At 35.9% G+C, this 25,331-nt stretch overlaps 2 protein-coding genes across 11 annotated transcripts in view; one reads left to right on the top strand and one right to left on the bottom strand.

Annotated features, from left to right (window-relative positions):
- The window catches only part of PRKD3 (protein kinase D3), a 74,332-nt gene that overhangs the window by 35,949 nt on the left and 13,052 nt on the right, over window positions 1-25,331 (top strand). For 8 of the 9 annotated variants that reach the window (XM_005264238.4, NM_005813.6, XM_047443853.1 and 5 more), the window contains 9 exons: window positions 2,516-2,708; window positions 6,266-6,343; window positions 8,956-9,139; window positions 10,896-11,019; window positions 13,041-13,118; window positions 14,188-14,464; window positions 16,453-16,505; window positions 19,198-19,270; window positions 21,349-21,455. In XM_005264238.4, coding sequence (XP_005264295.1) covers window positions 2,516-2,708; window positions 6,266-6,343; window positions 8,956-9,139; window positions 10,896-11,019; window positions 13,041-13,118; window positions 14,188-14,464; window positions 16,453-16,505; window positions 19,198-19,270; window positions 21,349-21,455 — 1,167 coding nt within the window. The remainder of the gene's footprint in view (window positions 1-2,515; window positions 2,709-6,265; window positions 6,344-8,955; window positions 9,140-10,895; window positions 11,020-13,040; window positions 13,119-14,187; window positions 14,465-16,452; window positions 16,506-19,197; window positions 19,271-21,348; window positions 21,456-25,331) is intronic. The other variant, XM_047443856.1, reaches the window with a different exon arrangement.
- NDUFAF7 (NADH:ubiquinone oxidoreductase complex assembly factor 7) overlaps window positions 17,520-25,331 on the bottom strand; it is a 39,708-nt gene continuing 31,896 nt past the window's right edge. For both annotated transcript variants that reach the window (NR_146402.2, NR_146405.2), the window contains one exon: window positions 17,520-18,298. The gene's annotated coding sequence lies outside the window, so the exon portion shown is untranslated. The remainder of the gene's footprint in view (window positions 18,299-25,331) is intronic.

Raw genomic sequence — 25,331 nt, 5'->3', positions numbered from 1 at the left:
ATGAGGTTTCACCATGTTGGACAGGCTGGTCTTGAATTCCTGACCTCGTGATCTGCCCGCCTCGGCCTCCCAAAGTTCTGGGATCGCAGGCATGAGGCACTGCTATCTGCAGATCTGTATACAGATGAGACAGTTGAGACACAGAGCAGCTAAGTGACTTGTGTGAAGTCAGAGAGCAAATTAGTAAGAGATAGTGGAATTAAACCCAGATCTCATTATTAATAAATCAGTGATTTTTTTTCCTAATACAGTGTACCTCTCAAGGGCAAAGGCAGTAGATCCAGGAAAAAAGAAATAACTCCCTTGTACATTTCATAGTATTTGAAATGACTTCCATCTGTAGGTTGTAATCTTATTATTTAGTTTTTTCTGTAACTTCTCTGATCTTCTGTAAATTAATGGCAAAATCAAGGCCTTGTCTTGGTACTGTGATCATAATATTTTGCTAAGTTAAGACACCAGAGTAAAAGCTTTTGAAATCCTTTCACAAAAATTCCATCTTCTCTTACTGCTTAGCCCTAGTGTGAGATTTTTAAAGGATAAAAAGAGTGCTGCGGCATAAAGGACTGAAAATGAGGGGTTGGTATAAACCTACAGAAGAGCCTGGAAAAGATTAGTAGGAAAAAGTTAGTGCATCTTATACACTGAACTGCACAGAGAACTTACCTAGGAATGAGGACAGTAGAATAGAGGTATGTCAAGAGCCCCACAAATGATGCTGTTACGCCACCTATGCCCAGTTGAGTATTACTAGATTAGGAAATAGCAGAAGGACAGAGCAAGTGGATAAGGTGTTACATTTTTCATTAGTTTATATTTTATCTTGAACATGAAAGCTCCTTAGGGAAGTATAAGAAGTGCAGTTACATGTCTGAATTGGTTAGATTGTTCAGGGTATTTTTAAACAAGTAGAACTTGTAGCATGGAAGGGCTTTCAGGGTTTACTTTAGTCAGTTCAAGCATAGTCTCAAAAAGAAGAACTTTATTTTCCAACTGTTTGGGTTTTTCTACCAGGTGAACAAAAAGCAAAATTAAAGAAGGCATGAATTAAAAATTTTTGTAACCTGAGGGGTAAGTAGATTTTGGTAACTATGACCCTTTCTATATGAAGGGAATAATCAAACTAAATTATAGATCACCCAGTTCAATGTGGCTCATTTCATTCATTCAACACACATTCACCGATTATTGTATGCCAGGCCCTGTTATATACTAGGGACACAAAATTGAATAAAACATAATCCAAATACTCAAGCACAAAATCCTAATACCCAACTACCATCTAGCTATATGAACAGATTTTGCTGTACCTGCTTGCATCCTCACTGCCAGAACTGATGTCCTGAGATCTTTCAGCTGCCTTCTATAACTAGTCATGTTTGTAATTCAGAGAAGTTGGGTAATTCTACATTAATATGTTCAACCAAGGGAAGGAAAAGAAGTCAGAAAAAAACAAGAGACAGAGAAGTGCAAGGGAGAAGTAAGGGGAGGAGAAAAAAGAAAAAAAAGGGAAGAAAAGGAAAAGAAAAGGACAAAACAACTGGTTGGAGAAGAGCACTATAAAATGCCTCAGATTGATAGTGTAGGCAGGTATTTTTCTTTTTCTTTTTCTTTTTCTTTTTTTTTTTTTTTTTTTTTTTTTTTTTTTTTTTTTGAGATGGAGTTTCGCTCTTGTTGCCCAGGCTGGAGTCCAATGGCATGATCTCGGCTTACCGGAACCTCCACCTCCTGGGTTCAAGCGATTCTTCTGCGTCAGCCTCCCGAGTAGCTGGGATTACAGGCATGCACCCCCACGCCTGGCTAATTTTGTATTTTTAGTAGAGACGGGGTTTCTCCATGTTGGTCAGGCTGGTCTTGAACTCCTGACCTCAGGTGATCCGCCCACCTCGGCCTCCCAAAGTGTTAGGATTACAGGCGTGAGCCACCACGCCTGGCCAGAAGACCAGGCAGAAAACCAACTAGCTAGGTTCTGGAATAGTCTCCAAAATGGGTAAACAAAGTTTACTTCTTCTTAAAGCTGAATTACTGAAACTTGTTTTAATTAGTTTTGTATCTGCCATTGTTTATCATTATTAATTAGACTTAAAATGTATGTATATATTTTAGTATTAAGATAAATTTGAAAATCTAAAATGTGTTTCAAAATATATTCAGATGTCACATTCAGTAATGCAAAATGAGCAGCAATAATACTTTCTTCATTTATTTGTTTTAAAGTTTGTGTATTTGATTTGTAAAGTGCTGAAATGTGCCTGGCAAATAATCATCAGTGAATATATACCTGAGAATTAACATATCTTAGATGTTTTTAAGCATAAATATTAGCAAAAAGAATCTGCATTTTTCTCATTCAAAGATTGGTAAATTAAACATTGCAAAGGAAACTGCTGAGAACAACATTTTTAGAGTTTTTTGGCTTTAGTGTTTGAAATAAATGATTCTTGTGGTTAAGCTCTGCTCCCACTACTCTGTTTTTAATATTGACTTACACTTATGAAAATTACTTATGTTATAGTCACATGTCCACCAGGAACCAAGTAAGAGAATTCCTTCTTGGAGTGGTCGCCCAATCTGGATGGAAAAGATGGTAATGTGCAGAGTGAAAGTTCCACACACATTTGCTGTTCACTCTTACACCCGTCCCACGATATGTCAGTACTGCAAGCGGTTACTGAAAGGCCTCTTTCGCCAAGGAATGCAGTGTAAAGGTAGGATTAGGTGTTTTCCCTAATTAAAATTTATGTCTGTTTTTGTTATTATATATAGGCTTAAAATATTTATATTTCAGAAGCATTAGCCAAAGAAATTATTCTCATAATTGTTATATAAAGGAAAGAGAAATATAAACAAAATATAAATGTGTGTGTAAACTACTATTACTACTATCTGCAGTGTGTGTTAGGTGCCAGGCACTATAGTAGAACAGTAAACCTTTACATGCTCAGTCTTCAAAGCAATTGTATGTGAATTATGCTTTTGTTAATATACTAGTAGTAATAGGAGTTACTATTACTATTAACTACTAATAGTAATAGGAGTACTAGTAATAGGAGTTAGTAGTAATAGGAGTCATATTTCATTTTATAGACATAGATTAGGTAACTTGCTTAAGATCATGTAGCTAGTAAACAGAAAAACTAGAATGTGGATCTCTGAGGATGGCTTCTTCACCTGTATGCTTATCACTTCCCAATACAGAATAGCTAGTAGGCAGCAAAGCTGATACTTGAGGTTTTATGTCTTTTTGATTCCAGAGCCAGACACTAAACAAAATAAAAATAACGCTTTCCTCTTTTCATTAAACATTTATTACACACACATATAAGCATACTGCAAGAGTTTTGGGTTTTTTTTGTTTTTAAGTATGTAGTTTGGAGAATTATACAAAAACTGTCATTCCCGAGAATAATCACCCTGAAATAGGTAGGACGTAATAAAAGCTACTAAAATTATGATAGGGACCCACCCGTATTTGGATACTAACCCAGCACACTTCTATAGTATTCTCAAAACATCTCTTAATGAAACAAGTTTTTAACAGCATACTGGAATAATTATTTGCTTATAGTTATATAATGCTTTTATGCTTTTTAAAGATGATTTTATCTTTTTGTCTCATACCTTCTCAGCAATGCTGTACAGTAGAAACTTTTCACAGTAGAGTGAAAACTAAAATAGAATGTAAATGTCTTAGATTATTAGTCATTGAGCCAGGATAGGATATAAGTAGTCTAACTATAATCTTATATACTTTTTTCATGTAATTAGCAGTTCTTGGTATTGTACTTTTTATATAGTAGAAGTATTTGTGGAATTGAATTATCAAGTGATCTAAATAAAACATTAGGGTTGAGGGTTTTGTAACAAGAAATTCTTGCTTACAAGACAGAGTAAGATAATTGTATATAAGCTTAAGCATATAAGAAAATAAAGCTTTTCTGAGGGGGGAGGGATAGCATTAGGAGATATACCTAATGTTAAATGACGAGTTAATGGGTGCAGCACACCAGCATGGCACATGTATACATATGTAACTAACCTGCACGTTGTGCACATGTACCCTAAAACTTAAAGTGTAATTAAAAAATAATAATAATAATAAAATAAAGCTTTTCTTGACAGTGTATGATAGCACACAAGAACATTAAATGGGGAATAGATTATACATTTGTTGTCAGGTATTTGATAACTATTAGGCATTATAACATGATGAAATTTTATTTCAACAGCTTGCTTTGAATATGAGTTACTACATAAATTAATACTTTAAAATATCAACCTAAAAATGTATTGGCAAGCAGCCACTGAGAAATGTTTTGGGAAAGAACATTAGTAACAGATGTACACATTCTAGCCAACAAATAATCTTAATGAAGGTAGTTAATATTGCTGCTCTGCTAAGCAGAACAGAAACATTCTTAAACCATATGCAGAAAAGTACAGTATTTTGTAGAGGAACTAAAATAAATACAAATGAATTTTTACATAAACCTGTTAATTCTGCTACTGGATTATTCAACTTTTTAGGGTTCTGGAAGAAGAATCTTTTATGCTTATATTGGTTCAGAAAATGGTAGGTTTTATTTCAGTATAGCTAAGCTATTTCATTTATTAAAATAATTATAATTCAGTGATTTCCCTATTTTAATAGTATGAATTAAGATACTTAAAAAATAAAAATATTTTCATTTGTCAGTCTACGAAAGAAAAATGATTTTGTTAAGATAAAACCATTATACTGGATCATTTGAGAAAATACACAATTCTAAGAATTCATTAATCTGTTTGTCTTTATTTTCTATTTTGATGTGTAAAAACTTCAAGGTAGCTTAAAAGCGTATGTAAAGTATAAGAGAGCATAAGCAAATTAATAAAAACATGGGTAAGGACATAGAGAACTAAAACTGCCTGCCTGCCATTCAAACCTACATACTTGCAGGTAGTCCACAAATTCGGCTCTGAATTTTTTTTTTTTTTTTTTTTTGAGACAGAGTCTTGCTCTGTCGCCCAGGCTGGAGTGCAGTGGTGCTGCCACACCCAGCTTATTTTTGTATTTTTTTTGTAGAGACAGGGTTTTGCCACGTTGGCCGGGCTGGTGTCAAACTCCTGGCTTCAAGTGATCCACCTGCCTTGGCCTCCCAAAGTGCTGAAATTACAGGTGTGAGCCGCTGCACCCGGCCTGAGTTTTCAAAGGGAAAATGGAAACCTTGTTGTTTTCACAGTTTGCAAAGTTCATGAGATAAAACACAAATCTATTGTTTAAGAGGTAGTGCAAGATAATATTAATATCACATGAATTTTCCCTAGGGCCTGTCTTAACAAGGATAGTGTTTTAAAGTAAATTTTATTCTCCACCAAATTATACATTTCATGGGGCTTATGTCATATAATGATCTTTAGCCTGTGCTGTTGGCATGATACCCAGGATTTTCTTGACTCACAAGGGTTACAAAAACATTCTAAGTCAGGACTTAAAGTTATTTTTACCCAGTTATTACTCATAGATGCATTTCAAAGGTGGTATTAGACATAGACCAGTGGGTCTCAACTTCAGTATGACTTACAGAGCTCAGCCCTACCCTCCCCACCCGCTAAGAGTTGCTGATATAGTAGGTCTGGGATAGGGCGCAAGAATTTGCATTTCTAACAAGTTTCCTAATGAAGCTGATCTGGGACCACAGTTTGAGAGCCACTGTGTTATACAGTAATTTTGGACAGATTGTACCTGACACTGATCTGCAATGCTATCAACTCTGAGGTTTGTTTTAGGCTGAAGAGAACCATTATGTAAAAGTGGGAGGCCTTGTGCTGGAGAAACTCAGTCCTTCCTCACAGGGTTGTATGTGAAAGCCCTTATTAGGTTCCTCATAAATGTTTGTTGGATCTCAGTCTCTTTCCTGCATATACATTAGGTCCTGATTCTTAGGAATTGAAAGTATGTATCTGACATATGTTGGATAGGAATTTAATCAGCTTGAGAAACTCTCATGGGAGATGTGGAAAGATGAATATGACATAAGAGAAGGAAATATGGAGCTGCCAGTACATTTCGGCGGTGTTGTACACATGGTATTAGCCTCATTATACAAATGAAGAAAATGATGGGGGGGTGCAGAGGGGTGCTAAAGTGACTTGTAGGTGGTTATTATTTTAATATCATCATTACTAATAATATTCTGTTTGTGAGTGATTTAAAGAAAGTCTAACCATATCTGATACTGCTTGACTTTTACATAAATTAATATGCTGAATATTTTCATTTTAGATTGCAAATTCAACTGCCATAAACGCTGTGCATCAAAAGTACCAAGAGACTGCCTTGGAGAGGTTACTTTCAATGGAGGTAAAATTATTTTTCTTAATTTTTGTGAAAGATCAGAAAAGGCCATGATTCTTTGGTGTATTATCTTTGGATAAGGTTCTGTTTTCCTGATTTATTTTGTTTCTTAAAGATTTTCTTCTGATTTAATAATCAAACAAAATACACAGACCACTGACAGTATACATTTATTAGTAATCACGCCTTCCCGTCTTTCCTCTGGCCACCTGTTACTTTGTAGTCTAATATAGCCAGTGGTACTCCATATCCTCTTTCATTTTTAGACATAAAAGAACTTGTTTTAAAACCCTGCTCTTGTCTCTATTCTTTCATAGTTCTAATATGTACTAACTGCTTGCTATACCAGGCACTGTTCTAAACTCTTTAAATATATTGACATTTCAACCTAAGAACAACCCTTTGAGGTAGGTACTAAGAGATGAGTAAACTGAGGCACAAATACATGAAATAACTTGCCCCAGAAATATAGCCAGTAGGTGGCAGAGCTGGAAGTTAAACCCATATGGTCTGGTTCCTTAGTCCCTAGTGATTAGAACACACTATACTGCCTCACTGTCCCTTTCTCTGTCAAATAATCGTTGTCCATTTTCCCTTTGGGGTCTTTTTTTTTCTTTTCAAGATAATACTAAGCAAGGCAGTTACCTTTTTTTGGAAGGAAGCAGTAAGGACTCTAGACTTTCAGCATAATTTTCCTTTAACAATTTACATGACTGGTAAAAATTTTATGTAAGTAGTTCTGTAAAAGGAAAAGCATAAAAGGAATGAAAATTCTCTTGGGGAGAGTTTAATTAACATTTTCTCTTGTGGCTTGTTTTCTGTGGTTCTTGGTTGTCTTAGTCTGTTTGTGCTGCTATAACAAAATACCATAGGCTAGGTAGCATATAAACAACAGAAGTTTATTTTTCATAGTTCTGGAGACTGGGAAGTCCAGGGCACTGGCAGATTCTGTGTCTGGTGAGGGGGGTCCGTTTCCTGGTTGATGGCACCTTGTAGTTGCATTCTCACATGGTGGAATGGGAGAAGGAACTCCTGTGGACATATTTTATAAGGGCACCCATCCCAAAGATACCACCTTCCAAAGACCCACCACTACCTAATACCCTTGCCTTGGGAGTTAAGATTTTTAAGGGGAACAAACATTCATACCATAGCACTGATTAACACCTTGACAGAGCATGATTGGTTTTCTCTTTCGGTTAATCTGAATTAGTATAGTTTGTCTATGACTAAAGTCTTTTATAAATTTATACTTCATGTATTTGTGTTTTCGTGTTTTTCTACCTTATAACAAATGGATACGAAACACCATTTATATTTATCTTAATGTGCATTTGATTACTAGTGAGATGTTCAAACTCACTAGTAATCAAAGAAATGCACCATTTTACATTAGCAGTTTATGAGGATTCTGATTTCTCTACATCCCTACCACCACTTGTTATTGTATATCTTTTTGATTACAACCATCCTAGGTAGTGCGAAGTGGTATCTCATTGTAGTTTTCATTTGCAGTTCCCTGGTGGCTAATAATATTGAGCATCTTTTCATGTGTTCATTCGCCATTTTTATATATTGTTTGAAAAAAGCACCTATTCAGATCCTTTGCCCATTTAGGTTACTTATCTGTTTATTTTTCATTGAGCTGTAAGAATTTTTAAATACCCTGGATACTAGTCCCTTATCTGGCATATGATTTGCTTATATTTTCTCCCATTCTATGGGCTTTCATTTCACTTCGTAAGGTGTTGTTTGTAGCACAGAAGTTTTGTATTTTGATGAAATCCAATTTATTTATTTATTTATGTTGTCACTTATCTTTTTGGTGTATTAAGAAAGCTTTGCCTAACCAAGGTCACAAAAATCTACTCTCATGCTTTCTCCTATGAGTTTTATAGTTTTAGCTCTTAGATTTTTATGTGATCCACTTTGAGTTAATTTTTATATATGATTTATATGTTCATTCTTTTGCATGTAGATATACAGTTATCCTAGCACCATTTACTTAAAAGACTATTTTTTGCCCGTTGAATTTTCTTGACACTCTTGTCAAAAATCAGTTGACCATAATGGTGGTGGCTTATCCGCATTTATAGTATCTTTTGTCATGTGGAAATTTAAAATTCTGATGTAATCAAATTAATTAACTTTGTGCCTTATGATTTGTGTATTTTTTATCTTCTTTAAGAAATACTTTATCTTAGGCCAGGCGTGGTGGCTCACGCCTGTAATCCCAGCACTTTGGGAGGCCGAAGTGGGTGGATCCCCTGAGGTCAGGAGTTCGAGACCAGCCTGGCCAACATGGCGAAACCCCATCTCTACTAAAGATACAAAAATTAGCTGGGCATGGTGGTGGGCGCCTGTAATCCCAGCTACTGAGGAGGCTGAGGCTAGAGAATCGCTTGAACCCAGGAGGTAGAGGTTGCAGTGAGCCGAGATCACACTCCAGCCTGGGTGACAAGAGTGAAACTCTATCTCAAAAAAAAAAAAAAAGAGAAATACTTTACTTAACTCATAAAGATATTTTCTTACATTTTAAGACTCTTAAGACTTTTTTCACATTTAATGGACTTCCTCTATTAATATAAAACTCTGAAATTCATTTAAAATTTTCCCAGAACCTTCCAGTCTGGGAACAGATACAGATATACCAATGGATATTGACAATAATGACATAAATAGTGATAGTAGTCGGGGTTTGGATGACACAGAAGAGCCATCACCCCCAGAAGATAAGATGTTCTTCTTGGATCCATCTGATCTCGATGTGGAAAGAGATGAAGAAGCCGTTAAAACAATCAGGTAATATATATACATATTACAAGCTACTTCCAGATGCAAGGTCAGTTCAGGATCTCATTAAGAAAAAGCCACGTCTCTTTAAGTGGGACCTTAAAAGTAATTTAAAATCTAAATAAATTGTGGCTAATTCTTTTACATGCAATGTAGTATTTCTGAAATAAATTATATCACCCTTGCCATCCACTCAAGATGGGGAGGTATGAGAATCCTTGTTTTTTTTTTTTCGTTTTTTGTTTTTTGTTCTTAAAGAAAAATGCTTTAAGTGTGGTCTAGATGTAAAACCTAGTTGTGGAACAGCCACTGCAAGGTGTCAGTATTGAACTTTCAGTTAAAGCAACCTGTTTTTCACACAGGCAGCTTTAACTGGTAGTAGAAATGGCAATAAAGAATATACTCATGAAGATGTTGCACAAGGATAATGGTGATGAAGTTTAGGGCAGTTTTCATATTGCCACAGTTAATCCGACTATTAGCATTTTGTAAAAATACTATTAGACTGTAAAACCATTCTAAATATGCCACTATGTTCATAGAAATTCAATTTTTGTAGCCTAAATGATATACTACCTTGTAGCAAAATGTCCCCATTTTGGCAGGTTTTGTTTTTCATTGGAAACAAAGAGTTACTTAAAGAAAATGAGTCATTTATTTCAGTCTCAGGTGGCTGAGTTGTCATTTATTCAGTTTGGCTTATCATTAAATAACAGTTATTACTATCATTAACATTATTAACAAAATCTTTGTTTAGCCATTTTGGAGACTATTCCAGAACCCAGCTAGTTGGTTTTTGGTTTCTGTTTTTTTTTTTTTTGAGACAGAGTCTCGCCCTGTCGCCAGGCTGTAGTGCAGTGGCACAATCTCCACTCACTTCAACCTCTGCCTCCCGGTTCAAGCGATTCTCCTGCCTCAGCCTCCCAAGTAGCTGGGACTACAGGCACCTGCCACCACGCCCGGCTAATTTTTGTATTTTTAGTAGAGACGGGGTTTCACCATGTTGGCCAGGATGGTCTCGATCTCTTGACCTTGTGATCTGCCCACCTCAGCTTCCCAAAGTGGTGGGATTATAGGCGTGAGCCACTGCGCCCGGTGAACCTAGCTAGTTTCTTAATCATGAATACTTCATAGTTTAAAAAAGAAAGTATTTAACTGTTTGAGGTTCACATTTCAAAACAGTGTATTTTATGCATACATCCCAAATTTTATTGAGCCATGTTTCAGTGCTGATTTGACTTGTTACATTTTCTTAATTAGTATCTGTAAATCATTTTCCTTTAAATACCTTCTAGTAGAAGTACATTTTGCTAACAACATGATTAACTGGATTTGATATTTGAGCCATGTGAATTCGAGTTATATATATAGTTGTATTTTGCCTTGTTGTGGATTTGCTAGTCCATCATGCTGCCTAGGGCAGGAAAACTCTTCAACAGCAAGCCCAAATGAGAACCTCTCCTGGGCTCCAAATATTCCAGTTTGGGAGGGTACTTTCTATTCCGCTCATTGTTTTTAATTTTTTTTTTTGTGGCCCTCCAGAAAACATTCATGACAAGTAAATAGGATTTAAAATATTAGCTTAAAATAGAATCTTTTATGTATCATCATAACAGGATTAATTTTTCTTCAGCCATTGTTTATTTTACTAAGATATTTTGAAAAATTTTAGCTCAGTTGTCTTTAAAAAGGCTTCATGTTCCTACAGTATTTATATGATTTTTTAAAAATCTACACAAACTTACAAATTTTAAATATTTTTTAGTCCATCAACAAGCAATAATATTCCGCTAATGAGGGTTGTACAATCCATCAAGCACACAAAGAGGAAGAGCAGCACAATGGTGAAGGAAGGGTGGATGGTCCATTACACCAGCAGGGATAACCTGGTCAGTAATCAAATACATTTGAATATGCTAGTAAGACTTTGTTATGAGTTTCATTCTGTGCATTTTTTAAATCAAAATGATGATGAGATACATATTAAGACATTATATACACCACAGCAATTTGTAAAAGATGCACTGGAATTATAGTTAAATTTGTAAGGAATTTTTAACAGGCAGAATATTTAATGTATTGTCTTTACAAACTGGTAGAGCAGTCAATATTCAAAAAGGATCTGGGATTGTTCCACAATAAAAAATAATTAACTCGAAACACAGTGGAGCCACAAATAGAGATAGAAGGAACTAAGACTTCATCTAAAAAGTCATCTTATTACCAAAGATAGGAAGGAAGCATGTTTGGTTTTATGTAGACTTTAACTTAGTGTAAATGTGCAACGTTTTTTTTTAGATCCAGCAAAGACGAGGAATGATGACATTCTAGTAGAAAGACAATAGATTTGAAGAATCAGCGTAGTGTAATAACTAAGAACACAGACTTTGGAGCTAGACTGCCTAAGTCTCTGTAACTTACTATAAAACTATATGAACTTGGGAAAGTTACTTAGTTTCTTTATGCTTTTGTTTCCTTGTGTAAAATTGGCATAATAATGGTAACCACCTAATAAATCCAAATCAGTTAATATATGAGAAGATCTTGGAACAGTGTCTGGCATACAGAAACACTCAATAAATGTTAGTAGCTAGTATTTTATTTTTAAAGTCTGCTGAGTAGATTATTGAAACAAGCTTTCTAATAAACCTTTTAAGAATAAAATGAAGTACCCAATACATTTAGCTGGCCTAAAGTTTTGTATGATAACAACAGTATAGACTGCAGTGTGTATGTGTTTTATTTATAGTTCATATCCTTGCGAATGTAACTTGAAGTGGTGTGCCTACCTTTGCGAATTTAATGGTATATCAAAGGTGCTTTTACATCAAATTAATGGGGAAAGTAGTTAATTCAGTAAATGGTGTTGGGACAAGCATCTAGCCATTTTGAAAAAAATAAAGTTATATATATGTATATATATGAATATATATGTATATATATGTGTATGTGTGTGTGTGTATATATACATATATACACACACCTCATACTTTATACATAATAAACCTAAATGTATCAAAGATTTGAGTGTAAAGAAATTAAACAGAAGAAACTTTGGGAGAATTATTTTACAAATTCAAGAATAAAAGATCAATAAATTCAATCTCATTAAAAAATGATATGTGGCAAAATCCAAAAGCAAAGACAAATGAGAAACTGGAAAAAATATTTTCAGCTCATTCTAAACAAGGGTTAATTCCATAAGATGTGAAGAATGCCAACAAATTGATAAGAAAAAGAACATAACGCAATAGGAAAATGGACAAAGAATATGAACAGAGAGTTTCACAGGAAATACAAATGACTCTTACACATAAGAACTTGATTTCATTTATAATAAAAGGAATATCACTTTAACCTTTCACTGAAATACCAGTGTTTATTTTTCAGTATAGCAAAGATCAAAAAGTTATTAACATACTGCATTAATGAGGGTGTGAGTAACTAGGGACTCTCATACGTTGCTGAAGAGACTATAAATTGGGTCAAATCTTGTGTAGAATAATATAACACTATCAGGCAAAATTACATGTGCACATGTCTGTTGACCCAGCAAATCAACTTCTAGAAATATAGCCTATAGGTAAATTACATATTTTTATGTGTGTGTGTGTATGTGTCATATATATATATGTATTCATGTGTGCATGTATGAAATTCTCTACAAGGATTCCCAGAAACCTGATAACATGCTTTGCCTGGAGTAAGGGTGAGGAGTGGGGATGAGTGATGGTGGAAGTGATACTTTTCACCATACATCCTTTTTATATCTTGAGAATTTTGAACCTCATGAATCTTAAAGTTATTCAAAAATACAAATTTATGAATGTAAATGAAGGGAAAAGTTAGGTACAAGCACTTTGGAGGAATCATTTTTGAACCTCACAGTTTTCCAATCTTCATTTTATAGAGAAAGAGGCATTATTGGAGACTTGACAGCAAATGTCTAACATTATTTCAGAATGAATCTGGATCAAAGTATTATAAGGTAAGGATTTTACACTTTAAAAAATATAAGCATTAAGATAGTGTATGTTTTTTTCAGATAATATTCATTAACTGTTATATTTGAATATATATGACTCTAGCTAGTATGGTTTATAGAAGTCACTGTTAGGTTCCTTGTTGAAGCAACTATTTCCCATACCAAATTTCACTCCCCCACAGCAGCTCTCCTTCCAGACTGTTTGTTGTTGTCGTGTATTTATTTATTTCTGGCTTGCCTGTCAGGTTGCTGCTGCTTTCCTTCTGGATACTCTGATTTAGATTAGACTGCTTAGAAAGTCCCATCATCATTGACTGTCCAGAAGAGGTCAGTGAGGTATTTAGTATTTCTCCCACCTTCCACCTTACCTTGGGTGCCAATTCCCAATTGCTTGTTTGGCTCTTAATCTCCTTTTTACAGTCTTCCTTGCTTGGCTTATTCCACGTTTTGCCACATCACAAACTGATAGCAAGCAAGATTATAACCAAGCAGTTAGGTCAGTAAGAGAGAATGGGAACTAATGGCTTGCTTTGAGCAGGTGTTTTTTTGTTTGTTTGTTTTTAGTAAGTTTTTTTTTTTGCCTTAGGAAGTGGACTAAAAATATAATGATTGCTACAGGTTACTCCAGTGGACAGAACCAGAATGGGAGTGGCTTAAACAACTGACCAAGATTCTGCTTTTTCTGCCATTATTTCTGCTTCTTACTTGCTTTGGGGCTATATCTTGTAGACTACAGTCACTAGATAAGTAGTTGTGAAGCTGAATTAATGACAGTTGGAAGTTACAAGTGTTGGATATAGTGGCAGATTACTCTCCTATATCTTCTTCCTTGCATCCTAATGATCTGCTACTGGCTTAGTTATCATAGTCCATGCTCTGCGTCTGGCATTGCTGGACATTGCAGCTCATTCAAGACAGGCCATGTCATAAGACTCAACTGTGTATTAAATGTTGCATACTTGTGTCCGTCTTAATGGCATTCATTGAAATGCATATCTCTGGTTCTTTAGTGTATTTAAAAATAAAAACAAAGATCTATTCTTATTTTTCAATGCTTAATTTTTTACTTCAGGAAATTCCACTTTCAGAAATTCTCCGCATATCTTCACCACGAGATTTCACAAACATTTCACAAGGCAGCAATCCACACTGTTTTGAAATCATTACTGATACTATGGTATACTTCGTTGGTGAGAACAATGGGGACAGCTCTCATAATCCTGTTCTTGCTGCCACTGGAGTTGGACTTGATGTAGCACAGAGCTGGGAAAAAGCAATTCGCCAAGCCCTCATGCCTGTTACTCCTCAAGCAAGTGTTTGCACTTCTCCAGGGCAAGGGAAAGATCACAGTAAGCAATAAACTTCTTGATGGCTTTTTCTCCTCTTTAATTCTTAAGCATTTTGTGGGTATGGTTGTGTTCCTTTGTTCCTTTTAATGTTCATCCTAAGCTTAGTCTTTAGTAACCAATACTTTAGTAACCAATACAATTAGTTAACTCTTTTATAAAATTATATTGGTTATAGTATATATACGTACATACAATGCCCAGTGCTAGGCTCCAGAGTCAGTTTTCCTACATGAAAATCCTGGCTATACCATCTGTTATATGATCAGGCAAGTACTTTACCTCACTGTAGTAGTAAGTACTTCATAAGGTTGTCAGTATTAAATGAAAGAGAACCTGTAAGATACAGAACAGTGCTTGGCATCCGTAAAGTCTCATTGGATTATGCCTGCTACTGGTATTAATATTTTGCTTTATAGTGGGATATAAACAGGCAATAAAGTATTATGGTTCACATCACACTCATGAAATCTGTGAAGTCAGAAATGCTGTATTAAAACATACAGAAATATTTAAAAATCACTGAAACATGTTTTGCACCAACAAAACTTATATAATTAAGCCTAAATTGGATAAAGTTTCAAAAGTAAACAGTTAACAATCGAAAGGTCACTATAATGTCACTTCTCCCCCATTAACATTATGTTGCTTATGGGGACACATAAGTCATTCATTTGAGAAATATACTCAAATTGAAATAAGTATCAACAACTTTCCAAAGGTAGTTTATTTTAGTTTAGCTGTATTATTTTGTACAACTATTATGCTAGGCCCTGAGCTAAAATACAAAATAAATACAGAAATCATAAAAGCTCTTTAGGGAGAGATGGGATATATAAAGGTATTAGATGGTAGCATAAAGCAGTACAGTGCAAAAGTGAGGAATACATTACTTAAAAAACTCAGATACAGACAGAAGAGTAAACAAGACTTCATAGAAGAACCTGATTTGAACCTCAGGTAGAAATACAGTAGGCAGATCTCAGTGGGAGGGGTGGAGGGGTAACATTATTTAGTTGAGACAAGTGTGATGAGGATCATGACAACTGTGTACATGTTTGGTGTTCAGTACTGATTTGGGGTTGGAATGGGTGTAAGTAGATGGATGTTTCACAGTGGTTCTTAAGTTTTCGAGGTTTTTAGACAGAACTCTATGTCATTCTAATTAAAACTAGGACTGTTTCCTCAGAAAACAATACAGGCACTTACACACTCTTTAAAAGATAAATGAGGTGATTTATTTCAGGCAATAAATGTATTAAAGTACCAAAAAACAACATTATAAAATTATAAAAATGCAAGCAATTTAGAAGTGTATAAAAACTCTTTGTCCCCCAACCCCACCTCTTCCACTCACCAAAAGTAATCACAGATTTTTGTTTTTAATTTAAGCACTGCTACCCTGCAATTCCCTTGACTCCACTTCCCCCCCTCCCCCCACCAAGAGACAGGGTCTCGCTATGTCGCCCAGGTGAGAGTGCAGTGCGCAAATCATAACTTGCTGCAACCTCAAACTCCAGGGCTCAGATCCTCCTGTCTCAGCCTCCTGAGTAGCTAGGACTACCGGTGCACACCACTATGCCTGGCTAATTTTAAAATTTTTTTAGAGATAGGGTATCCTGTAGCCCAGGTGGTCTCAAACTCCTGGGCTCAAGTGATCCTCCTGCCTCAGCGTCCTAATGCACTGGGATTACAGTAAAACTTCCCTTTTTAACTCAGTAATAATCATAACTAGCTTTCTGACTTTCTGATTCAGTATTTATAGTCCTACATCATCGATTAAATGTTGAGATAGTATTCTTTTGTATGGATGTATCATATTTTATCTAGTTTCCTGTTGATGGGTTGTATGTGTAGATTTTGTTAATGTACATAATTGTATTAACTGTGTGCTAAACTTTTTAAAGTTTGATATACCATGAGCATTCACATGTCAGTAAAGATTAATAATATTGTCATATACTAAATTTTGTCTTTTTTATATTTTACAGAAGATTTGTCTACAAGTATCTCTGTATCTAATTGTCAGATTCAGGAGAATGTGGTAAGTAATCGTTATAGCTAATGTGTAAACTGGGTGATTAAAATAAGGAAAATAAAAGGTGAAAATCTTTATTAGAGAAATTGGTTCATCGCCCAAAGTACTAGGCTAGACTTTGCGGTTGGTAACTTCCCTAAGGAGTTCTGCTTTATAGAGGAAACTAGGGCAGATTTTTAAAATTAAAAATAAAGCTAACTTTTTCACTAGAAAAAGTTACATTACAGTGTTACAAAGTGATAAGACTGGTTCAAAGAGAAGGCAGACATTACTTCTTGTGGGGTCAGCAGGGGAAGCTTCCTAAAGGAAGTGCAATTTGAGCTATACCTGAAAGGATGGAATGGATTACTGACAGAAGTGCTGAATGGATGAGGGTTGGGGAACAACCTTTCATGCAAGTACAGGAGCACTAGGATGAACAAACAGGGAAGCAGGAAATGGACTCTTAAGGAATTATGAATAAATTAAGTTGGCTGGTGTATGTAGGTATGTTGAGGGTTTTATAACAGGTCAGCAACTTTTTCCGTAAACTTTTTAGTAAGTACCTTAGGCTTTGTAGACCAGCAGTCCCTAACCTTTTTGGCACCAGGGACTGGTTTTGTGGAAGAGTTTTTCCACGGAGGTAGGGGGTTGGGAGATGGTTTCGGAATGAACCGTGTCAGATCATCAGATTCTCATAAGGAACACACAACCTAGATCCCTCGCATGCACAGTTCACAGTAGGGTTTGCCCTCCTCTGAGAATCTAATGCCTCTGCTGATATGGCAGGAGGCGGAGCTTGGGCAGTAATGCTTGCTAACCTGCTGCTCACCTGCTGTGCAGCCTGGTTCCTAACAGGCCGCAAACAGTTACCAGTCTGTGGCCTGGGGCTTGGGGACCCCTGTTGTGGACCATATACAACTATGCAGCTATGTGGTTGTGACAAGAAAGCAGCTATAGGCAATACATAAGTGAACAGGCATGGCTGTGTTCCAATAAAACTTTATTTATGGACCCTGAAATTGAATTTCATTTAATATTTACATGTCACAGAATATTATTTTGATTTGTCCAGTCATTTAAAGACCATTTTTAGATCGGGGCCATACAAAAAAGAGGCAACAGGCTGGATTTTGCCCACAAGCTGGAGTTTGCTAACCCCTGGACTAGAGAGAAAACAGGCTAGAAAAGGAAGTCAGAAAATTGTTAAATTGTTATATATAATTTCTCAGATTAAAATCTCTATTTTTCTACTTGGGGCACTTAGCTGTTATAGTTCTCTAACATGTAAATGTTAAGATTTCTAAGACTGCAATGAAGATTGGACTCTAGTAGTGTTATTGGAGATAGAACATTTCAGAGATATAATCTATGAGTCTCTTGTCCTGTTGAGAGGTAGAATAGACAGCATATTCTTGGGGAGATAAGGAGGAATATCAAAAATCATGAGCACTCAAATTTTGAATAATCCCATGGGAACTGAGGATATCTCCATCCATGTCATGGGGGAAAAGGATTCAGAATTGGCTTTTGTTTAACAAATATATATACACATACATACATACACATACACTTTCCTAGCAGTTATTATATATGCATTGGATGCCTCCTAATCTGATTAGAACCAAAATTTGGTTAAACAAAAAGATTAAAGTGGGGAGGCTTATAAAAATGGTTCTTACAAACCTTAAAATTTTAATTACAACTTAACATATATACATGCATATTCACTGGCTTTTGCTGCAGGGCTGAGGCTTTGTCTTTATAAGTGTGGGTCTGCTAAGTGAAGTTCCACTTTGTTTTTCTTTCATCAGTCACACCTGTAATGCAGTTTTGACAGTAAACATCCCAAATTAGTATATTAGTTCTGTTAGTTCTGACAGCAACAAATACTACAAAGAAGAAAAAAAAAGGGAAGGGGGCGAAGAGCAGTGAGGAAAGATAGAGGAATGGATTTCAGTTACAGACTTTCTCTCATACATATTCTTTTCTTCAGTCTCTCAAAGTTAGGCTAATCCCAGTAATATGAACTTTTGAGTTTTTTTTTTTTTTTTTCCAAAAATCAATGAGAGCAAATCTCCTTAAAGGTAAAATAGGTAAAATTTCATTTTTAATTTTTTTTAGGTAGATTTGCTTTTATAGATCACTACTTAATAAATACAAGATTTTTTTTTTTCTTGAGATGGAGTCTCGCTCTTGTTGCCCAGGCTGGAGTGCAGTGGCACAGTCTTGGCTCACCACAACCTCTGCCTCCTGGGTTCAAGCGATTCTCCTGCCTCAGCCTCCCGAGTAGCTAGGATTACAGGCATGCACCATCTCACCTGGCTAATCTTGTATTTTTAGTAGAGATGGGGTTTCTCCTTGTTGGTCAGGCTGGTCTGGAACACACAACCTCAGGTGATCCACCTGCCTCAGCCTCCCAAAGTGCTGGGATTACAGGCGTGAGCCACCACGCCAGGCCTAAATACAAGATTTTTAAAATGCAAAGCATTTTTTTCCTGAAAGTCTTGCACAATACATTATACTTGCACATAAAATTTGGGCTTAACCTCTTATTAGAACATAGAAAGCCTGTGTTTTCATAAAATAGTTTGCACTTTATGGAAATTAGCTGCTTCTAACATAAAAATGTATTGAAGTATTTGGATGAAGAAAGTCAGAGATGTTGACATTGTATTATAGAAATAAATAATACTAACTCCTTACTTTATCCTACCAGGATATCAGTACTGTTTACCAGATCTTTGCAGATGAGGTGCTTGGTTCAGGCCAGTTTGGCATCGTTTATGGAGGTAAGCAACTACAGCCGTTTGCATATTGTACACATTATTTTAAAAACTGGAAAATGTAAAACATCTGCCAGCTGTTTTGTCATCTCATAGTTTTGTCCAGTGCCTTTTTTTTAAAGGCTGACTTGTTATCTTTCAGCTAAATCCTTCTCACTGTAATTTGAGTATTCTTCCCTTAATGTCATTGCAAACTTTAAAAATTAACAGAATCAGAAAATTTTACAGTGTGTTTTATCTCTTCTTGTAGCTCACACATACAGATGTTTGTCGGAGGCAGGGGGGGAGATGGTTTGAAGTTTATGTTGGGCTGAGTGGGCTTATTCATTGAAGTATATTCCCTACTAGTTTTCCAACACAAATGGCACCATTTGTCTACTGTTGGCATGATTGTTCTATTAAGTCTGAAAACCTGAACCTGAAATCCAACTTTGCGATTTAGGATATTGATGAAGTCATTTAACCTTACTGTGCGTTAGCATCTTCAACTGTTTAATGGAACTAATAAAACCTGACCTGTGTAGCTCATAGGGCTTAAATATTAATTAAACTTAATATATGTAAAGGTACTAAGAAAGAAATGTTAAACCCTTGTTATCCCTTGCTAAGACTTGGTACAGTAGTTTCCTAGTTGGCTGTTCTGCCTCCATTCTTACCTTCTTTTCATACAACTCTTAGAGTCAATCTTTCAGAAAATTCACATCTGATATTAGTATTACCTCACATAGAACCCTTAAGTGGTTCACAGTCATCTACAGATTCATAGCCAGTTTTCTTAGCAGAGGATTTCAAGGCTGCTGTAATTTATCCCTGCTTCTCTAGCCTCAGATCTAATTGCAGCTTCCTCTTTGCTTTCTATCTTTCAGTCCTGTTTACATGCCTCCATACCCTTTGCCTCTCTGCTCCTTCTCCATCCCTTTGTCTCTTCTAGTGCACATTTTTTCATACTTCAGGGCTCAACTAAAGGGCTTTCTCTGTGGAAATTTCTTGTCCCCGTACCTATTTCTCCATCAAATAAAAACATGGTTCCCCTTTGGTACTCCTGCTACCCAACATACTTCTCTCACAATATCTATTACCCTTTGGGTTTACATTATTGTCTTCCCACTGAACTTTATTGGAGCGTTGGCTGTGAGATGTCTGGATCTTCTTTGTATTCCTAGCACCTAGTATTGTGACATAAAGCAGTCGCCTAGAAAATGTGTTGACTCTGCATGCATATATAATATCTATGGTTTGCAACTTCAGATTTGTCAGTTTTAAGAGTAGTTACATCTCTGGAGGACTTCCTGTCATCAGAGGAACAAAGAACTGTCCGAGGTACCTTTGGCTTCTTACCAAAAATGCACACATTTGTTCAGTCTTTTCAAGTAGACTTACGATTGTGCCATTGAGACAAATGAGTTAATCTAAAATAAATAGCTATGTAGAGAAGAGCAAGTCAGATACATATTTGAAGAACAAATACCAAAAATATACCTGTCATTTTCACTGCTTAATCTGTAGCATCTAAAGGCATACCTAGTACATAATAGGTATAACTAGTTAATTTGAATTAATAAATGAGGGAATGACTGTTCATTATAATAAACTTCTACCTTTTTTTAATATCTAGATTCTAGAATATAGAGACAAATATAAATTTTTTATATCTAGATTCTAGAATATAGAGACACCCAGAGTTTGTGGGTACATGGTTAAATCACTCTGTGCTGACTCATTGAATCTAGAATAAAATTGATTCATTCATACAGTATTTCCATCTTGACAGAGTCTCTGAAGGACTAGGTCAGGGTAATTAACTATCATTGATTTAACAAGGTAGATTACTTTTCAGCAACAAGTTCATTCAAATTTTCTCCTGTTTAGATAATGCAGCTGACTTTATTAGGGGCAAATATTATGTATGGAGGGGAAAACAATTTTTTCCTAAATTAAAGGTGAGTGAAGGAGTGTGGAGAAAGAACAAAAATGAGCCAAAAAGAAAATTCAAGAGTAAATACATATAAATTTCAGTCTGTGGACAACTCCCTAATAAAGCTGTCAGTTTGCTTCATTCGTTCCTCTTCTTTTTTTCTTAATAGGAAAACATAGAAAGACTGGGAGGGATGTGGCTATTAAAGTAATTGATAAGATGAGATTCCCCACAAAACAAGAAAGTCAACTCCGTAATGAAGTGGCTATTTTACAGGTAAAAATAAAAAATAAAAAACTGGTTTATTAAAGAGGCTGGTAAGAATCTGAATTAACTGCTTCTCTTTTTTTTTTTTTTTTAAGAAGGCAAAATTAGATTATGGTAATATAGGCATTATAGGGACTGCCAATATCTTGCTTTATGGTAGTAGTTTTAGAACACATTTTCGTGAGTAAAATCTTTTTTAAAAAAGTAAAATTTCATTCTTAATTCATTCCAGGAGCTTAAAATACTTAGGATACTTTGCCACATTTTGTCAGAAGGTTGCTGTTTTACCCATCCAGTTTTCACAGGTGACATGCTTGTCATAGCAATTACTGTGCAAGTAAAGATTGCTTTAAAATTATGTACCTTTTAACAGCACTTATTTCATTAATTAAAAACTCTAATTTTGTAATGGCTTAGTCGATTGGGGCGTATTTTAAAGATATATTGGCAATGATTTCAATTCCATAAATTCCTATGTGTTTTTCATCTAGCATTTTTACCCCTTGGGGGCGGTCATCTAGAAGATTAAAATTTAGCTTGATCCTTGGATCACTTTCTGAATATCATATAAATAATTTATAATATGCAAATGTACGTTATATAGTTTTTGCATATTATTAAAGAAATCATGGTCGTATAATAGCTCATTCTGGCCAGGTGAGGTGGTGCGCACCTATAATCCCAGCACTTTGGGAGGCCAAGGCGGGTGGATCACCTGAGGTTAGGAGTTCGGGACCAGCCTGACTAACATGGTGAGACCCCATCTCTACTAAATACAAAAAAACTAGGCCGGGCACGGTGGCGCATGCCCATAATCCCAGCTACTCAGGAGGCTGAGGCAGGAGAATCGCTTGAACCTGGAAGGTGGAGGCTGCAGTTAGCCAAGATTGTGCCATTGCACTCCAGCCTGGGCAACAACAGCAAAACTCCATCTCAAAAAAAAAAAAAAGCCGGGTGTGGTGGCACATGCCTGTAATCTAAGCTACTTGGGAGGCTGAGACAGGAGAATCACTTGTACCTGGGAGGCAGAGGTTGCAGTGAGCTGAGATCATGCCATTGCACTCCAGCCTGGGCAACAAGAGGGAAACTCCGTCTCAACAACAACAAAAAATGGTTAATGCTGTCAGAGCCCCATTTGCTTTGGGTGAAATTCAAGACAGCCTCCTTCTGAACTTGAGTTTCCTTGAAGAAGGTAAGAAACTTAAATGATTCATTTTACATTTATTATGTTACTTGTTGCTAATAGTAACATTTACCTCACTTTTTCAGAGGCATGATAATCAAAAAGCTTGTGGTCAAGTAGGTACCTGTGGTCATATCAAGGCTGTCTCCTCCTATAAAGCTACCTTTAAATAGAATATTAATAGCATTCATACTCTGTTGAATATGAATAGTATGAATATGTTGTCAGGTATTTTTGCGTATCTAATTTTGGAACCCTCATTGTCCAACTAGTAAGCGAAACAATAAAAATTAAGGATATATTCCTATGGATTGATTTCTTCTTGATCACAAACACAGCTCTGAGTAAGCACTGAAGCTTTTTTCCTCTTATCAGCTATGGATCATAATAACTAAATTTAGGAATAACCAGGTAATGCACAGTATGAAAAACTTCATTATTATATCATTTTGGTTACTTTCATCAATATTGCCCAAACTGGGAATAGATTGTAGGATGTCTCTATGCTATTTTCATACTAAATTTAATACAAGACTATCTTTGTTGTAGATTCTCTTCAAATTGTTTATGTCAGATATTTATACTTTTATATTTGGCTTTCCTTGTGGTGTCAGCATTTATACTTAAGTACTTTTTCTCAACATCACCCAGCAGGAAGGCAGATTCAGAGTTTGAATCTAAGTCTGTCTGCAAACCATATGCACTTTCTACTTTACATCATTGGACTGACCCACTCTGTGTGTGTGTTTGTGTGTGTGTGTGTGTGTAGTATAAAGATGAACTTTAGCTAACTTTGTATATGAATATTATTCATATAGAATATTGATATTCTAGAATATTCTATTAGTACAATCTGAATTCATGTAGGAAATACACTTCTTAAAAGGAATCTTTTTAAAAATCACACCTCATTTACTGAAATTAGTTTCATAAGATTTAGTTATGTGAGCATCACAGCTAAACTTTTTCACATGGGTTGGAAGTAACCTACTACACTGTTAAACGCACTCACACCACCTTTTGGCTCTCCTCTTCCCCATCCAACTGTATCATCTTTCCTTTTCCATCTTTGCCCCGTGTCATTCTTACCTGTAGTCCTCCCTCATCACCCAAACCTGAAAGGCTGTCTGAACTCCTGTAGTTCATCCTGCTGTTGATACCTTTACCTGCATCCCTAGAGGCGTCCATAGCTTTTCTTTCCCATGCCCACATACTTAGAGAAAAGATGGGGTGAAGATTGCGCATATTATTATTAAGACTACAGCTTTGGCCTTTCCGGTGGCAAGGAGGAAAAATCACAGGATCACTGATTTAGAAGTGACCTTACAGTTTATCCCGGAGTATCCAATCTCTTGAGCTCTTGGTGACAGGCTTTGTAATTCTGTTTAACAGAAATGAGCACATCCCATTTTTAGATACCTGTGATTATTCTTTATGAAAGTGAATCAAAATCACTTGAAAAAGATCCCACTGCAGACAATATACACAACAAATTGAGTCTTTTTTTTTCCCCCCCAAAAATAGCCATGTTGACTTTCTTGCTATATCTCAAACATGCCAGACATGCTTCTGTCTCAAAAGGCTTTGCATTAGCTGTTTCCTCTGCCTGGAATGCTTTCTCCCTCAAATATCTGCATGTCATACTCCCTTGTCTCCGTCAGGATTTTGCCCAAATATCATTTCCTCAATGAAGCCTCCACATTCTATTCAGCATTAAACCCACCCTCCCACCCCTCCACTCCCCTACCTTAACTCTTTTTCTTTTCTCCATGGCACTTATCACCTTCATACTAGGTAATTTACTATTTTATTTCCCATTGTCTGTCTCACCTTGCTGCAATTTATAAGCTCTGCGAGACAAGGCATCTTTGTCAAGTTTTGTTTAATAATGAATCCAGAATACCCACATAGTACTGGGTACACGGCAAATTCTTATTTAATATTTAATGAATAAATGTATTATGTGGGAAATTACAATACATTGTTAGATTGAAAAAAACTTTGGAATGACTCCCTTTAACTTTTTAAAGTAATGTGTACATTATGTATGTCTATATACAGTTACACAGAAAAAGAGCCATGCCTACATAAACTGTCAACCTGGCCACATCTAGGGAGGATGTTGTAGAGCAGGAAAAAAATTGGGGAGGGGAGGTTCCTTTTGTTTCCTAGATTATGTGGTAATGTAAAATGTTTCTTTTGCTGTCTTGCCTGAAGAGGGTAGTAGAGTAGTGGGAGAAAAGGTGTGGTGTTCTTGTAGGTACCTATGTAATTAGAAAACGTTATCAAAAACCTAGAGGGAAATTTCTGGTTTGAACATTGTGGTGTAAATTCAGCATTTTCCCGTTCTCATCTTGGAAGCTACCCCAAAGCTATAAGAAAAATGATTAACAGAAGTGAGCATACTTTAAAAAAAAGATGAGAATTCAAAACTATAAAATCATGTAGATTTCCAACAACAGTGAAGATGAAGCAGAGGTGCATGTCTCTTCAGGAAGAGACAACACAACTGTTTTTGCTGATTCTTTCTGAAATCTGCAGCCCTTATGTCCTCCAAAGGTCCCTTCTCCAAACAAAAAGCCATTTGAGGGTCATGATCTGATAAGATTTAACTCAAGGGAAAACACATTAAATGAAATGAAAGAAGGCCACTTTAACAGTGGAAGAGTGAAAATCATACTACACCAAATAACACCATAAAC

This window comes from Homo sapiens, chromosome 2, assembly GCF_000001405.40.
Source record: "Homo sapiens chromosome 2, GRCh38.p14 Primary Assembly".
Classification (NCBI taxonomy): domain Eukaryota; kingdom Metazoa; phylum Chordata; class Mammalia; order Primates; family Hominidae; genus Homo; species Homo sapiens.
This window is presented reverse-complemented; position numbering and strand designations above follow the sequence as displayed.